We start from the raw sequence: 16,618 nt of genomic DNA on the forward strand, positions 1-16,618 counted from the left end.
TCCCACCTCAGCCTCCCAAGTAGCTGAGACCACAGGTGTGTGCTACCATACCTGGCTAATTTTTGTAATTTCAGTAGAAATGGGATTTCACTGTGTTGGCCAGGCTGGTGTCAGGTGATCTGCCCACCTCGGCCTCCCAAAGTGTGAGGATTACAGGCGTCAGCCACTGCAGGCGGCCTTGACCATTTTAAGGCTCCAGGAAGAGTTCTTTGGACGCAGGTCATGGACAGAGCTCCTGATTCACCCAGAATCTGTTTTGAAAAAAGATTTAGACCACTGGCTCTCAAGGTGTGGTCCCTGGGCCAGCCACATCAGCCTCACCCTGGGAGCTTGTTAGAAATGCAGGTTCCAAAGCCAGGTGCAGTGGTTCATGCCTGTAATCCCAGTGCTTTGGGATTGAGGCTGAGGCAGGAGAATCACTTTAGCCCAGGAGTTCAAGACCAGCCTGGGCAACATAGCAAGATCCCATCTCTACAAAACAAATTAAAAATTAGTCTGGCGTGGCCAGATGCAGTGGCTCACGCCTGTAATCCCAGCACTTTGGGAGGTTGAGGCAGGTGGATCGCCTGAGGTCAGGAGTTCGAGACCAGCCTGACCATCACGGAGAAACCCTGTCTCTACTAAAAATACAAAAATTAGTCGGGCATGGTGGCGCATGCCTGTAATCCCAGCTACTTAGGAGGCTGAGGCAGGAGAATTGCTTGAACCCGGGAGGCAGAGGTTGCAGTGAGTCAAGATCTCGCCATTGCGCTCCAGCCTGGGCAGCAAGAGCGAAACTCCTCTCAAAAAAACAAAAATAGCCTGGCATGGTGGTGCACACCTGTAGTCCCAGCTACTTGGGAGGCTGAGGTGGGAGGATCGCTTGAGCCCAGAAGTTTGAAGCTGCAGTGAGCTATGATCACACCACTACAGTCCAGCCTGGGCAACAGAGCGAGACCTGGTCTCAAAACAAACAATGAAAAGTAAAAGAAATGCAGGTTCCTAGGCCCCCACCCAGACTTCACACACCAGAAACTGGGCAGAGTAGGGTGGTGGGAGGGCACAATCTGGGTGTTCATGACTCCTCCCTTCCAGGCAAACTGGGTGCCAGATAAAGTTTGGGGGAAGGGGCCAGCCACGGTGGCTCATACCTGTAATCCCAGCACTTTGAGAGGCCAAGGTGGGCGGATCACTTGAGGTCAGGAGTTCGAGACCAGCCTGGCCAACATGGAGAAACCCCATCTCTACTAAAAGTATAAAAATTAGCCAGGCGTGGTGGCATGCGCCTGTAGTCCCAGCTACTTGGGAGGCTGAGGCAGGAGAATCACCTGAACTCAGGAGGCAGAGGTTGCAGTGAGCCGAGATTGCACCACTGCACTCCAGCCTGGGCGACAGAGCGAGACTCTGTCTCAAACCAAAGAAAAGGAAAAGAAATGCAGTTTCCCAGGCTCCAACGCAGACTTCACACACCAGAAACTGGGCGGGGTGGTGGGGGTGGTAAAATCTGGGTGTTCATGACTTCCCCCTTCCAGGCAATTTGGATGCCAGATAAAGTGGAGGAAGTGCTGGAGGTTAGATCATTGATGAGGATAATGAAGAGGAAATATACTTAAAAAAAATTACTAAAACTGGCTGAACAGTCATGACTTACAGACGCAAAAGTCAACATCAAAACAAGCAGTTAAAAGCAGCCTCTTGGCCGGGCGCGGTGGGTCACGCCTGTAATCCCAGCACTTTGGGAGGCAGAGGTGGGTGGATCACCTGAGGTCAGGAGTTTGAGACCAGCCTGGCCAACATGATGAAACCCCACCTCTACTGAAAATACCAAAAAAGTAGCCAGGCGTAGTGGCACATGCCTGTAATTCCAGCTACTCGGGAGGCTGAGGCAGGAGAATCGCTTGAACCCGGGAGGCAGAGGTTGCAGTGAGCCGAGATGGCGCCACTGCACTCCAGCCCGGGAGACAGAGTGAGACTCCGTCTCAAAACACAAAAACAAACAAACAAACAAAAAACTTAAAAAAAAGAAAACTAGGGCAGGGATGGGGTGACAGGAGGGGAGAGGCAAGGGACAGAGAGGAGGGGCTGGGGTCCGGGAGAGCCACCAGCCTTCTGTGCCTTCCCCGCATCCCCCCACGCCCCTGGTTGGCTGTCCCCATTACGCAGGGTGGAAAACCGAGGCTGCCCGGCGGGGGCCGGTTGCGTGGTTTCTGGCGCCGCCTGGTGGCCATAGTGGCTACTACCGTCAGCAGGAGGTACTGCAGGCTGGAGGGACCCTAGTCCATTCATTCCAAAAACATGTATTGAGCACCTACTGTGTACCAGGCACTGTGCTAGGCCATAGGACACGGCAGGGATGAGCACGACAAAGTCCATGACCTCTGTGAGGTGGCATTTTAATATTTATTTATTTATTTTTCAGCCAGCGTCTTGCTCTGTCTCCCAAGCTGGAGTGCAGTGGCGCGATCTCGGCTCACTGCAACCTCTGCCTCTGGGGCTCAAGCGATTCTCCCGTCTCAGCCTCCTGAGTAGCTGGGATTACAGACGCATGCCACCTTGCCCGGCTAATTTTTGTATTTTTAGTAGAGATGGGGTTTCACCATGTTGGCCAGGCTGGTCTCGAACTCCTAACTCAAGCAATTCTCCCACCTCAACCTCCCAAAGTGCTGGGATTACAGGGGTGAGCCATTGAGCCCAGACTTAATTTTTTAAATTTTAATTTTAATGTACTGGTAAAGATGGGGGGGTGTCTCACTATGTTGCCCAGACTGGTCTCGAATTCCTGGCCTCAAGTGATCCTGCCACCTTGGCCTCCAAAGTACTGAGATTATAGGTGTGAGCCATCATGCCCAACCCTTCCTGGTTAATTTTATTTTATTGAGATAGGATCTTGCTCTGTCACCCAGGTTGGAGTGCAGTGGCACAGTCATAGCTCTCTGCAGCCTCAACCTCCCAGGGTCAATTGATCCTCCCACCTCAGCCTCCTGAGTTTCTGGGACTACAGGTGTGTACCACCACATCTGGCTAATTTTTAAAAAAGTTTTCTGGGCTGGGCGTGGTGGCTCACGCCTGTAATCTCAGCACTTTGAGAGGCCAAGGCAGGCGGATCACCTGAGGCCAGGAGTTCAAGACCAGCTTGGCCAATATGGTGAAACTCCGTCTCTACAAAAATACAAAAATTAGCTGGGCATGATGGCTGGTGCCTGTAATGCAATCCCAGCTACTCGGGAGGCTGAGGCAGGAGAATCACTTGAAACCGGGAGGCAAAGGTTGCAGTGGGCCGAGATCAAGCCATTGCACTCCAGCCTGGGCAACATAGCAAGACTCTGTCTCAAAAAAATAAAAAAAAAATAAAATAAAAACAAAAAACAAAACAAAACCAACAACAGCCAGCAGCAACAACAAAAAAACTTTTCTAGGCCAGGCTCGGTGGCTCACGCCTGTAATCCCAACACTTTGGGAGGCCGAGGCGGGCAGATCACTTGAGGTCAGGAGTTTGAGACCAGCCTGGCCAACATAGGAAAACCCCGTCTCTACTGAAAAAAAAAAAAAAAATTAGCTGGGCGTGGTGGTGCACGCCTGTAATCCCAGCTACTTGGGAGGCTGAGGCAGAAGAATCACTTGAACCCAGGAGGCGGAGGTTGCAGTGAGCCGAGATCGCGCCACTGCACTCCAGCCTGGGTGACAGAGGGAGACTCCATCTCAAAACAAACAACAAACAAAAGATATATAAAAATTTTTCTAGAGATGGGTTTCACCGTGTTACCCAGGCTGGTCTCAAATTCCCAGGCTCAAGTGATCCTCCCACCTCGGCCTCCCAAAGTGCTGGAATTACAGGTGTGAGCCACCACACCTGACCCTTTCTTGTTTTTTAGATGAGGACAGCAAGAAGCCCCTGTAATTTGCCCAAAGCCACACAGCGGGGAAGTGGCAGAAGCTTCTGTACGTAGGAACCCAGTCACTTCGTAGCAGAGAGGCAGACTGCGCACAGATCTGCGTGGGGAAGGGAGTGCGCCAAGCCACAGCCTGATGGGCCGGCGTGCCTGGCAGGAGGCTCAGCAAGCACAGAGACTGGGCAGCTCCAGATGCAAGAAGCAGGAGGGAGGGGGACTCCGGGAGTGCGGTCCATTCATGTCTGAATGTAGCCAACGAGGGTTTCCTAAGCACCTACCATGTGCGGACGCTTGATACCAGGGCCTCGGCGGTGAGGGCACAGGCAGGAGCAAGCTCACCTCTGGGCAAGCAGGGGTTAAGGCCAGTTGCTCCCACGTGAGGGCACCTTGCGACAGAGCCACACACCCAGTCCTCCTGCTGGCCCGCCCCTCACCCTGGTCCGTCTCCCTGTGTCTGTGGTCGTCAGTTCCACTGGCAGGGGACCTGCCTCCCTGTTGCCACCACAAGAGAGGAAAAGTTGGTCAAACAGGTGGGGAGGCCAGAGCTACAAGCCTCGGGTTCCCTCCCCACCACCCGTGCCAGGCAGGCACCCGGGCCCTGGCACCTGCTGCCTGCCCAGAGGCCACCCAGCCTCCTAGACAGGTAAGTCCCCCGCCCCACTGTGCTTTTCCACCCAGTGTGCATTGTCTGAGCTGGCCTTCCCCAGCTGAGGGTCCTTAGACTCCCCCCCAACCTCCCCCACCACGAGCTGTCTCCCCGGCTCCTCGGAAAGCAGGAAACTGACACTCCTGCGTGGGCATCTGACATAGTTTCGTAGGGATTATCTGACCGGCAGTTACTGCACCTGGCGGCCTGCCCAGGACGCTGAGCTGGAAACTTAAAAGGGTCATTGTTACCTAGGTGGCGCAGGGACCGGGGAGGCGGCAAAGGGGCACAGGTTGGTCTCTGATCCCCCTAACTGAGGAGGGGAGGGGATATCAGTCCAGACGGAGCCTGGGTTTACCTCCTGCAGCCCGAGGCTAGGAGGTGACAGGTGGGAAAGGCTGCGACCTCACTCATCTCTGAGCCTCCTGGAACTTCTTAAAAGGCTCCCAAGTTTTGAAACAACTGCGTCTCCCGCCCCCCAACCCCTCACCCTGTTCTCACCGCTGGAACCTCCAGGAGCTTTGCAGGGAGGGATTGGGGTGGCCTTTCTTTTGCTAATTTTTTTTTTGAGACGGAGTTTTGCTCTTGTTGCCCAGGCTGGAGTGCAGTGGTGCGATCTTGGCTCACTGCAACCTCTGCCTCCACCTCTGCCTCCCGAGTAGCTGGGATTACAAGCGCCCACCACTATGCCCAGCTAATTTTTGTATTTTTAGTAGAGATGGGGTTTCACCATGTTGGCCAGGCTGGTCTCGAACTCCTGACCTCAGGTGATCCAACCCCCTCGGCCTCCCAAAGTGCTGGGATTACAGGCGCAAGCCACTGCGCCCAGACTTCTTTTTCTAATCTTTACTCCTCCGAGCAAAATCTCTGTGGGATGGGGCAGAGGGGAAGGAGGAAGGAGCGCTCAGAGCCAGAGAGGGGAGGGGTCGGCAGCAAAAGTGTTTTTCTGGGTCATTTGCTCCCAAATGGGAAGACCAAGGGAGCTTCCTCGTGAGCCAAGTGTCCGATTGCATCTCAAGTCTCTCTCCAGAACCAAGAGGGTCCCCCGGGGCCGAGGAGGCATGGATGATCGCATAGTGGGGGACAGAGCGGCCCGGCATTTGGGGTCACCTTGTGGCTGTGTGGCTGCAGAGCTCCCAGGGAGCAGGCTTGCTTGAGATTCGGGAGTCCGTGGGGGTGGGCGACATGGATCCCACCTTGCCTGGGTTTTGAGAGCAAACCCGTGGACTCAGTTAGATCTGGCTTCCACACCTCCCTTCTCTCCGGGCCTCTGTTTCCTGCTCTGTAAAATGGGGATATTGAGGGCCGGGCGCGGTGGCTCACGCCTGTAATCCCAGCACTTTGGGAGGTCGAGGCGAGTGGATCACAAGGTCAGGAGTTCGAGACCAGCCTGGCCAACATGGTGGAACCCTGTCTCTACTAAAAATACAAAAAATGAGCCGAATATGGTGGCAAGCACTTGTAATCCCAGCTACTCCGGAGGCTGAGGCAGGAGAATTGCTTGAACCCAGGAGGTGGAGGTTGCAGTGAGCCGAGATTGTGCCACTGCACTCCAGCCTGGACAACAGAGTGAGACTCTGTCTCAAAAAAAAAAAAAAAAAAAGGGGTGGGGGGATATGGAGTCACCAAGGCACAGGGCTGTTGAGTGCCGGATGTAATAAAGCGGGTAACAGATTCTCGGTCATTCTGGGGTCAAGACGAGCTATCCCGGTCCGAATCGGAGTCTGGTCTCATCAGCTTCCTGGTTTGTAGAGGATGAACCCTGGCTCAGAGAAGGACAGCCGCTTACCCCGGGCCGCACAGCCAAGTAGAAATGTCAGGCGGCCAAGAGTCAAGACGCAGAGGACAGGGAGCTGGTGGCGGGGGTGGTGCTCTGGAGGCTGGCCCTGCCCCCAGCTGATGCCTCAGGCTCAGCATCTCGAGAAAGTCCTGCCCCCTGGCTTGGTGCTTCCTCGTGGCCCTGAGTCCCGGGGAAAGTCCAGGGCAGGGAGTATGGGTACTTGTTCTTCCTCTTTAGGGCTGGCCAGGGGCCAGGGGAGCTGTGTTTGCTCAGGGTGGAACCTGACACCCTTTGGAATGGATTGAGGTTAGCGGAAGCCTAGGCTGGGGGGAGGGGTCGCCCAGGGAGCGAACGGGCATTTATTGTGCACTTACTGTATGCGCGAGTGTGGGGTCACCAGGCCTTGGAGATTCAGCAGTGAGCAAGGCAGGCCAAGCTTCCTGCTCTCGTGGGGCGCATATTTTGGTGGGGAAAGACAGACATGAAACAAGAGCGCAGTAATGGAGCCAATGGCTGCACAGAGGGTAACATGCGTGAGAGGCGCTTTGTAACTTTATTTTACTTTTTATATTTTTTTGAAACGGAGTCTCGCTCTGTCGCCCAGGCTGGAGTGCGGTGGCGCGATCTCGGCTCACTGCAAGCTCCGCCTCCCGGGTTCACGCCATACTCCTGCCTCAGCCTCCCGAGTAGCTGGGACTACAGGCGCCCGCCACCACACCCGGCTAATTTTTTGTATTTTTAGTACAGACGGGGTTTCACCGTGGTAGCCAAGATGGTCTCTCCTGACCTTGTGATCCGCCCACCTCAGCCTCCCAAAGTGCTGGGATTACAGGCGTGAGCCACCATGCCCGGCCTTATTTTATTTTTTTTTGAGATGGAGTCTCGCTCTGTTGCCCAGGCTGGAGTGCAGTGGAACGATCTCCGCTCGCTGCAACCTCCACCTCCTGGGTTCAAAGCGATTCTCCTGTCTCAGCCTCCCAAGTAGCTGGGATTACAGGCGCCCACCACCACGCCCAGCTAATTTTTGTATTTTTAGTAGAGACAGGGTTTCACCGTATTGGTCAGGCTGGTCTCGAACTCCTGATCTCAGGTGATTCGCTCGCCTCGGCCTCCCAAAGTGCTGGGATTACAGGCGTGAGCCACCGCGTCCGGCCAAAATGAAGGGAGAGCTTTAAATGCTGGCCTGAAGACATTTGGCTTTATGATATTAAAGGATATTTTTTCCCAAAATAGTAAAATCATTACTCTCATACAAATACAAAATGAGGCCGGATGCGGTGGCTCACGCCTGTAATCCCAGCACTTTGGGAGGCCGAGACGGGTGGATCACGAGGTCAGGAGTTCAAGACCAGCCTGGCTAACATGGTGAAACCCTGTCTCTACTAAAAGTACAAAAAAAAAAAAAAAGGTGCTTTATGTGTCTGCTTAATTCATTAATTAATATGGGAACCGGTAAGACTTTATAGCCTATACAGAGGGGAATTAATTTGTTTCCTTTCTTTCTTTTTTTTAAAAATTGAAAATAGAAATGGGGTTTTGCTGTGTTGGCCGGCCTGGTCTCGAGCTTCTGGGCTCAAGTGATCTGCCAGCCTCAGCCACTCAAAGTGCTGGGATTTCAAGCGAGAGCCACCGACCCGGCCTCAGCATTCTTGATTGCCTGTGTGTGTGTGTTCTTTCAGTTCTCCTCTGGACCAGACACGGTGGCTCACGCCTGTAATCCCAGCATTTTGGGAGGCCAAGGCAGGTGGGTCACTTGAGCCCAGGAGTTTGAGACCAGCCTGGCAAACGTGGTGAAACTCTGTCTCTACTAAAAATACAAAAATTAGCCAGGTGTGTTGGCGTGTGCCTATAATTCCAGCTACTTGGGAGGCTGAGGCAGGAGAATTGCTTGAACCTGGGAGGCAGAGGTTGCAGTGAGCCGGGATCGCACCACTGCACTCCAGCCCCAGAGACAGAGCAAGACTCCATCTCAAAAATGTCATTCCGTGCCCAGAATGACAGCACCTTAGCGTAGATGGTTTCCATGGGGCAGGGGGCCCCCTCTAGCCCTGGGACACTGTAATTCACCTTTGGCTTTCCCACTGGGGGCCCGAGTGGAGTTAGAAGCATGGAGAGGCAGCCCAGGGGATCCTTAGTGGCAGATGCTTAAACCTTTGAGCCTTCCCTGAAATACTGCTCAGGGTCAAAACCGGGATCCCCGTTTTACAGATGAGGAAGCTGAGGCAGGGGCTGGAATTCACATGGGCTCTGCTTTTCTCTCTCTGCTGTGGAACTTCCTTCTAGAGCTCAGCCGTCCTCCCTTTTGGGGGAAATGGCATCTTTGGCATGGCTTGGTGGCTCCCGCCTGGAATCCCAACATTTTGGGAGGCCGAGGTGGGAGGATCGCATGAGCCCAGCAGTTCAAGACAGGTCCGGGCAACATAGCGAGATACCGTCTCTACAAAATATACAAAAATCTGCTGGGCAGGGTGGCGTGCACCTGTGGCCCCAGCTACACAGGAGGCTGGGGTGGGAGGATCGCTTGAGCCCAGGAAAGTGGAGGCTGCAGTGAGCTATGATTGCACCACTGCACTCCAGCCTAGGTGACAGAGCAAGACTCTGTCTCAAAAAAAAAAAAAAGAAAAGAAAAGAAAGTCCCCTGTTGAACACCCTGAGCTGCATTCCATACTCCAAGCTTCTAGCAGGTTCCACACTCCTCCTACTTCAAAGTGCCCCCCATGAGTCCTACTTCAAAGTGCCCCCCATGAGGTCCTCCAGCCTCCCCAGGACGCCAAACCCTGAGACGTTCTTCAGCCCTCCAGTGCCTTAGGGCTGAGCCGGCCACACCTAGAATCTGCCCTTCCTCAAAGGTCGTTTGGATCTTGGCAACCCACAGACCGGGGCGTCTCCTCCCACCTGGCTGCCCTCCATCTCTGCTCTCTGTCTCTGCTCCTGCCCCGTCCTCTCCACACGGCTTCCTTAAAACCTCCCAGGGTCCCCCAAAACCCATGACGCCAGTCTAGTCATGAGGGAAACAGCTGGTCCCCAATGTCCCCACATTGAGAGTTATTCTGCAAAAGACCTGCCCAGCACAGACTAACAGGTCACAGAACAGGAAAGACAGAATCGGTCACAGCCCAGCGGTGTCTAAGGAGACGTGACAGCCAACTACCAGGTGGGATCCTGGATGGGGCCCTGGGGCGGCAAAGGGCCTGCGGAGAGACGTGAATAAAGTGTGGAGTTCAGTGAACAAGGTTGTACTGATGTTGACTTCTTGGTTTTGACATATGTACCCGTGTAATAATGTTAATGTTAGTGGAAATCAGTTGGGTGTATAAAGGAATTCTCTGTGTATTTACTTTTCTGTAACTTTAAAATTATTATTATTATTTATTTATTTCTTTTTTTGAGACAGAGTCTCGCTCTGTCGCCCAGGCTCTGGAGTGCAGTGGCACGATCTCGGCTCACTGCAACCTCCGCCTCCCAGGTTGAAGTGATTCTCCTGCCTCAGCCTCCCGAGTAGCTGGGACTACAGGCGCCCGCCAACATGCCCAGCTAATTTTTTTTTTTTTTTTGTATTTTTAGTAGAGACGGAGTTTCACCGTGTTGGCCAGGATGGTCTCCATCTCTTGACCTCGTGATCCACCTGTCTCGGCCTCCCAAAGTGCTGGGATTACAGGGGTGAACCACCACGCCCGGCCTATTATTATTACTATTATTTAATTTCTTTGTTGTTGTTTTGAGACAGAGTCTCTCTCTGTCACCCAGGCTGGCTGGAGTGCAGTGGCGCAATCTTGGCTCACTGCAACCTCTGCCTCCCGGTTCAAGAGATTCTCCTGCCTCAGCCTCCTGAGTAGCAGGGATTACAGCAGCCCGCCGCCACACCCGGCTAATTTTTGTATTTTTAGTAGAGACAGGGTTTCATCATCTTGGCCTGGTTGGTCTCAAACTCCTGACCTCATGATCCTGCCTCAGCCCCCTGAGTAGCTGGGATTACAGGCACGTGCCACTACGCTTGGCTAATTTTAGTATTTTTAGTAGAGACAGGGTTTCACCATCTTGGCCAGGCTGGTCTCAAACTCCCGACCTCGTGATCCACCCGCGTTGGCCTCCCAAAGTGCTGGGATTACAGATGTGAGCCACCGCGCCCAGCCCGTTCTTTTAGTATTTATTGAGCACGTACTGCATACACAGTGATGGGGCTGCAGAAGAACTGATTGACAGACACAGTGGAAGCCCACAGTCTTTAGGGGAGACAGACAATAATTGAATAATCGCATATGTAACTAAAAAGTACAATTAGGCCAGGCGCAGTGGCACACACCTGTAATCCCAGCACTTTGGGAGGCCAAGGCGGGCGGATCACGAGGTCAGAGTTCGAGACCATCCTGGCCCTGATCCACTGGGGGACCTCAGCCCAGCCCCTGCTATCTCTGGGCCTCAGTTTTCCCACAAGCACTCAGAAGGGGTTGAGCTGGCTCATCCCAGGGAGGCCTCCAGAACTCCACCTTCCCTGGGTCCTCCTGTCCCTCACCCTGCTCAGATCACACTGGCCCTGAACGCTGGTTCCCAATCACACGTCATATACTTGGCTTGCAACAGTTTTGTTGACTGAGTGACTGAATGCACAGAAGAATTAAGGCACAAATGAAGTAGATTGCTGAAAAGCAGATTTTCTCTTTTTTTCCTTTTCTTTTTGCTATTATTATTTTTACTTCGTGAGGCAACAGTAGAAAACCAGGTTTTTTGTTTGTTTGTTTGGTTGGTTGGTTTTTTTTTTTTTTGAGATGGAGTCTCGCTCTGTCGCCCAGGCTGGAGCGCAGTGGCGCAATCTCGGCTCACTGCAACCTCCGCCTCCCGGGTTCACGCCATTCTCCTGCCTCAGCCTCCCGAGTAGCTGGGACTACAGGCGCCCGCCACCACACCCAGCTATATTTTTGTATTTTTAGTAGAGATGGGGTTTCACCGTGTTATCCAGGATGGTCTCGATCTCCTGACCTCGTGATCCGCCCGCCTCGGCCTCCCAAAGTGCTGGGATTACAGGTGTGAGCCACCGCGCCCGGCCAAAAGCAGGTTTTTAATTCATTAAGGTGATCCGAAGGTCAGGGGTGGTGGGAATAAGGGGCTTAAGGCTATGCCCATCTCCAAAGCCTTGGATTTGAACCCAGGTTTGGAGGATGGTACTAGGGAGCCATCGAGTGTTCTTGAGCAGGGCATGGATATGAGAGCAGACGGTGGGTGGTTGGAGGAAGACAATGTGTCCTGGTGCAGTTATCCAGCTTCCTCTCTTAGAGGGGTTGACAGTGGGATTTCTCTGCGTTGCCCATTGACATTTGGGGCCAGATCCTTCTCTGGGATGGGGCCATTCTGGGCAATGCAGGGTGCTTAGCAGTATCCCTGGCCTCCACTCACTCATGCCAGGAGAACCTTCCAGGTTTATTTTTTTATTGTTTCATTTTATTTTATTTTTTTGAGTTGGAGTCTCGCTCTTGTCATCCAGGCTGGAGTGCAATGGCGCAATCTCGGCTCACTACAGCCTCTGCCTCCTGGGTTCAAGCAACTCTCCTGCCTCGGCCTCCCGAGTAGCTGGGATTACAGGCACCCACCACCACACTCGGCTAATTTTTGTATTTTTAGTAGAGATGGGGTTTCCCCATGTTGGCCAGGCTGGTCTCGAACTCCTGACCTCACGTGATCCACCCACCTCAGCCTCCCGAAGTGCTGGGATTACAGGCGTGAGCCACCACGCCCGACTTGTTTTATTTTTGAGATGGAGTCTTGCTCCATTGCCCAGGCTGGAGTGCAGTGGCGCCATCTCAGATCACTGCGACCTCTGCCTCCCGGGTTCAAGTGATTCTCCTGCCTCAGCCTCCCGAGTAGCAGGGATTACAGGTGCCTGTCACTACGCCCAGCTAATTTCTGTATTTTGAGTAGAGACGGGGTTTCACCCTGTTGGCCAGGCTGCTCTCGAACTATTGACCTCAAGTGATCCGCCCATCTCAGCCTCTCAAAGTGCTGGAATTACAGGTGTGAGTCACCGCGCTCGGCCTGGTATTGAACACCAAAATGTCTCAAGACGTTGCCAAGGGTCCCCCTCTGGTGAGAGGCACTGGCTTGGAGTTCGAGGTGCAGGGGCAAACAGAGCTGCAGCCAAATCCCTCAGGCCAGCTCACCATCTGGCCTCAGTTTTCTCAGCTGCAAAGTGGGCGCACGAGTGTTGTGTGTAACTGGGGCTGCAGCCAAGCATATGCCAGTAAACATGGCCCGGGAGCCCCATTCACTGCTAGGACTTTAACCCACTTATTTCTTTATTTATTTTTGAGACAGCGTCTAGCTCTGTCACCCAGGCTGGAGTGCAAGGGCAAGATCATGGATCACTGCAGCCTCGACCTCCTGGGCTCAAATGATCCTCCCACTTCAGCGCCTAGAGGTGCCTGCTACCACACCCAGCTCATACATATATATATATATATATATATTTTTTTTTTTTTTTTGAAACAGAGTCTCAGTCTGTCGCCCAGGTTGGAGACAGTGGCACGATCTCGGCTCACTGCACCCTCTGCCTCCCAGGTTCAAGTGATTCTCCTGCCTCAGCCTCCCGAGTACCTGGGATTACAGGCGGGTGCCAACACGCCCAGGTGACTTTTTTTTTTTTTTTTGAGACGGAGTTTCGCTCTTGTTGCCCAGGCTGGAGTGCAATGGCCCGATTTCGGCTCACTGCAACCTCCGCCTCCCGGGCTCAAGCAATTCTCTTGCCTCAGCCTCTCTAGTAGCTGGGATTACAGGCATGTGCCACCACACCCAGCTAATTTTGTATTTTTAGTAGAGACGAGGTTTCTCCATGTTGGTCAGGCTGGTCTCGAACTCCCAACCTCAGGTGATCCGCCCGCCTCGACCTCCCAAAGTGCTGGGATTACAGGCACGAGCCACCACGCCTGGCCCATGACTGTTATATTTTTAGTACAGACAGAGTTTCACCATGTTGGCCAGGCTGGTCTCAAACTCCTGACCTCAAGTGATTCGGCCGCCTTGGCCATCCAAAGTGGGATTACAGGCGTGAGCCACTGTGCCCAGCCATAGCTTATATATATATATATATATATATAATTTTATTTTTTTTTGAAACATAGTGTTGTGCTGTCTGCCCTGTCACCCAGGCTGGAGTGCAGTGGCGTGATCTCAGCTCACTGCAACCGCCGCCTCCCAGGGTCAAGTGATTCTCTTGCCTCAGCCTCCTGAGTAGCTGGGATTACAGGCGCCTGCCACCATCCTTGGCTAATTTTTCGTATTTTTGTAGAGATGGGTTTTGCCCTGTGGGCCAGGCTGGCCTCCAACTCCTGACTCAAGTGATCCTCCTGCCTTGGCCTCCCAGAGTGCTGGGATGACAGGCATGAGCCACTGCACCCTGCCTAAGATATTTTTAAAAATTTTTGTGGATGTGGAGATGGGGGTCTCACTGTGTTGCCCAGGAATGAGAGTACAGTGGTGTGACCATGACTTACTGCAGCCTCCACCGCCTGGGCTCAAGCAATCCTCCCAGCTCAGCTTCCCAAGTAGCTGGGAGTACAGGCAAGTGCCACCAAGACTGGCTAATTAAAAAAAAAAAAAAAGGCCGGGCACGATGGCTCACGCCTATAATCCCAGCACTTAGGGAGGCCGAGGGGGGCGGATCACAAGGTCAGGAGTTTGAGACCATCCTGGCTAACACGGTGAAACCCCATCTCTACTAAAAGTACAAAAATCAGCCGGGCATGTGCCTGTAGTCCCAGCTACTCGGGAGGCTGAGGCAGGAGAATGGCGTGAACCCGGGAAGCAGAGCTTGCAGTGAGCTGAGATTGCGCCTGGGCAACAGGGCGAGACTCCAACTCAAAAAAAAAAAAAAAAAAAAAGTGTGTGTGTGTGTGTGTGTGTGTGTGTGTGTGTGTGTGTGTGTCTGTGTGTGTGTAGAGATGGAAGTCTCACTCTGTTACTCAGGCTGGTCTCTCCTGGCCTCAAGAGATCCTCCCGCCTCGGCCTTCCAAAGTGCTGGGACTACAAGCGTGAGCCACTGTTCCTGGCCAAGCCTCTTATTTTAAAGACGCTGAAGTCAGAAAGCCTGTAGGACAGGAATGCAGCATTTTCTTTTCTTGCGGTTTTTTTTTTTTGGGGTGGTGGGGGGCGGGGTGGACAGGGCCTCACTCTGTGGCCCAGGCTGGAGTGCAGTGGCGCAATCTTGGCTGACTGCAACCTCTGCCTCCCAGGTTTAAGTAATTCTCCTGCCTCAGCCTCCCTAGTAGCTGGGACTACAGACGTGCGCCACCACGCCCAGCTAATTTTTGTATTTTCAGTAGAGACAGGGTTTCACAATGTTGGCCAGGCTGGTCTCGAACTCCTGACCTCAGGTGATCTGCCCGAATGCAGGATTTTCTACCAGCTCCAGTCCCCTGCAGAACCCCTGTCCGATTTTGCCAGACCTAAGCAGAGACTGCTTTGAGCAATGGCAGCCACGAACCTTGACGTGTGCGGGCCGGTAGGGAATGATGTGTTTTTCTCACGACTCATTAAAACAAATACACGGCTATTTAAAGATCGCTGGACTGGCCGGGCGTGGTGGCTCACGCCTGTAATCCCAACACTTTCAGAGGCCGAGGTGGGTGGATCACCTGAGGTCAGGAGTTCGAGACCAGCCTGGCCAACATGGTGAAACCCCGTCTCTACTAAAAATACAAAAATTAGCCACGCGTGGTGGCCGGCGCCTGTAGTCCCAGCTACTCAGGAGGCTGAGGCATGAGAATGGTGTGAACCCCGCAGGCGGAGCTTGCAGTGAGCCGAGACTGCGCCCGGCACTCCAACCTGGGTGACAGAATGAGTGTCCGTCTTGGGGGGTGGTGGACATCGCTGGACCTTAATCATCTAAAATGATTTTTTGCGCCACCTGCTGGTGGCGGAGTGTCACACAGGGAAGGGCTGAGTTGCCTGTAGGTATACAGTAGGTGTTCAGTAAGCCTTAGTTTTGGTTAATGGTGTTTCTACATTGGCTCAGCATGGGGTCTTGGAAAGAGTTTGGGGCTCCAGGAACCCATGCTGTGCAACCTTCAGTGAGTCTGGGGCCCTTTCTGAACCTTCATCTATAAAATATGTGTGTGTGTGTGGCTGGGAGTAGTGGCTCATGCCCATAATCCTAACATTTTGGGTGGCCGAGGTGGGCTAATCACTTGAGGCCAGGAGTTCGAGACCAGCCTGGCCAACATGGGGAAACCCCATCTCTACTAAAAATACAAAAATTAGCCAGGCGTGGTGGCGGGTGCCTGTAGTCCCAGCTACTCGGGAGGCTGAGGCAGGAGAATGACGGGAACCCGGGAGGCGGAGCTTGCAGTGAGCCGAGATCGTGCCTGCAGTCCAGCTGGGCGACAGAGCGAGACTCCGTCTCAAAAAAAAAAAAAAAAAAAAAAGAAGGGAAGACATATAACCTTCATGCGATGTGAGAAGGTGCGTTGAAATGCCTTCTACAATTCTTGCTTCGGTCGGAAGTCACAAAGGGATTGAACTTCATTTTGGCTGCTCCCACTTCTGTGATGGCCGCAAAAGGGAAGAGAACTACATGCTCCTTTTTATTTATTTTGTATGGAGATTGGGTCTCGCTATATTGCCCAGCCTGGTCTCAAACTCCTGGCCTCAAGTGATCCTCCCACCTGACTCTTCAAAGTTCTGGAATTACAGGAGTGAGCCATTGTGCCTGGCCTCTACGCCCCTTTTAATCCTCCTGACAACCCTGTGATGTAGGGGCTATTATTTTCCCCAATTACAGATGTGGAAACTGAGGAACAGAGAGGGGCAGTAAGTTGTCTGAGGTCACACAGCAAATAGGTGAGAGCTGGTTTTAGAACTCTCCTAGCTCTGAAGTTCCAAGTGGGTCCCCACAAGAGGCTTTGGCAATGCTTTATTCGGGCCCTTGGAGACCCTTGAGGGGCTGACTGTAGCTGACTTGGGTCTCTGGACTAGTGTTTTGGGTACAATTGCAGTGGAGGAGGTGAGATGTCATCTTCGGGGACCCTCTAAGACTTTGATATTGTTGGCCTTGTTTACTAAGCAAACTCTTAACCAACCTTCAAATCCCCAGCTACGATGCCCCCTCCTCCAGGCAGCCTTTCTTTTACCGCTAGAGTTTTCTCTATGCTCTTCACCCCTAGCCACAACCTGGGACTCCTGTCCCTGCCCAGCCCTGACTGGATAAGGCTGGGAAGGGGTGTTTATGTGTAGCTTTGCCCTTTTACCCTTTTAACCTTGGGGTGGGGCCCAGGCACAGCTGGGCGCAGGTTTTTTTTTTTATAGTAAGGAATGTGGGGGTGCAGCCACGACCAGCCC

General features: G+C 53.1%; 1 protein-coding gene across 1 annotated transcript in view, besides 5 other annotated features; it reads left to right on the plus strand.

Moving 5' to 3' along the window:
* Positions 3,780-4,443: an enhancer, noted in NCBI's record as "H3K27ac-H3K4me1 hESC enhancer chr19:3707827-3708490 (GRCh37/hg19 assembly coordinates)". NCBI's record gives its function as "activates a minimal SCP1, AML or CMV promoter by ChIP-STARR-seq in naive H9 embryonic stem cells {active_cell/tissue: H9 hESC(naive)}" and the evidence as "EXISTENCE:reporter gene assay evidence [ECO:0000049][PMID:30033119]".
* The window catches only part of TJP3 (tight junction protein 3), a 42,430-nt gene continuing 30,146 nt past the window's right edge, over positions 4,335-16,618 (plus strand). Inside the window, exon 1 of the mRNA NM_001267560.2 lies at positions 4,335-4,512. The gene's annotated coding sequence lies outside the window, so the exon portion shown is untranslated. The remainder of the gene's footprint in view (positions 4,513-16,618) is intronic.
* Positions 4,444-5,105: an enhancer, noted in NCBI's record as "H3K27ac-H3K4me1 hESC enhancer chr19:3708491-3709152 (GRCh37/hg19 assembly coordinates)". NCBI's record gives its function as "activates a minimal SCP1, AML or CMV promoter by ChIP-STARR-seq in naive H9 embryonic stem cells {active_cell/tissue: H9 hESC(naive)}" and the evidence as "EXISTENCE:reporter gene assay evidence [ECO:0000049][PMID:30033119]".
* Positions 5,941-6,486: an enhancer, noted in NCBI's record as "H3K4me1 hESC enhancer chr19:3709988-3710533 (GRCh37/hg19 assembly coordinates)". NCBI's record gives its function as "activates a minimal SCP1, AML or CMV promoter by ChIP-STARR-seq in primed H9 embryonic stem cells {active_cell/tissue: H9 hESC(primed)}" and the evidence as "EXISTENCE:reporter gene assay evidence [ECO:0000049][PMID:30033119]".
* Positions 8,500-9,001: an enhancer, noted in NCBI's record as "H3K4me1 hESC enhancer chr19:3712547-3713048 (GRCh37/hg19 assembly coordinates)". NCBI's record gives its function as "activates a minimal SCP1, AML or CMV promoter by ChIP-STARR-seq in naive H9 embryonic stem cells {active_cell/tissue: H9 hESC(naive)}" and the evidence as "EXISTENCE:reporter gene assay evidence [ECO:0000049][PMID:30033119]".
* Positions 9,002-9,501: an enhancer, noted in NCBI's record as "H3K4me1 hESC enhancer chr19:3713049-3713548 (GRCh37/hg19 assembly coordinates)". NCBI's record gives its function as "activates a minimal SCP1, AML or CMV promoter by ChIP-STARR-seq in naive H9 embryonic stem cells {active_cell/tissue: H9 hESC(naive)}" and the evidence as "EXISTENCE:reporter gene assay evidence [ECO:0000049][PMID:30033119]".

Source organism: Homo sapiens, chromosome 19 (genome assembly GCF_000001405.40).
Source record: "Homo sapiens chromosome 19, GRCh38.p14 Primary Assembly".
Taxonomy (NCBI): Eukaryota; Metazoa; Chordata; class Mammalia; order Primates; family Hominidae; genus Homo; species Homo sapiens.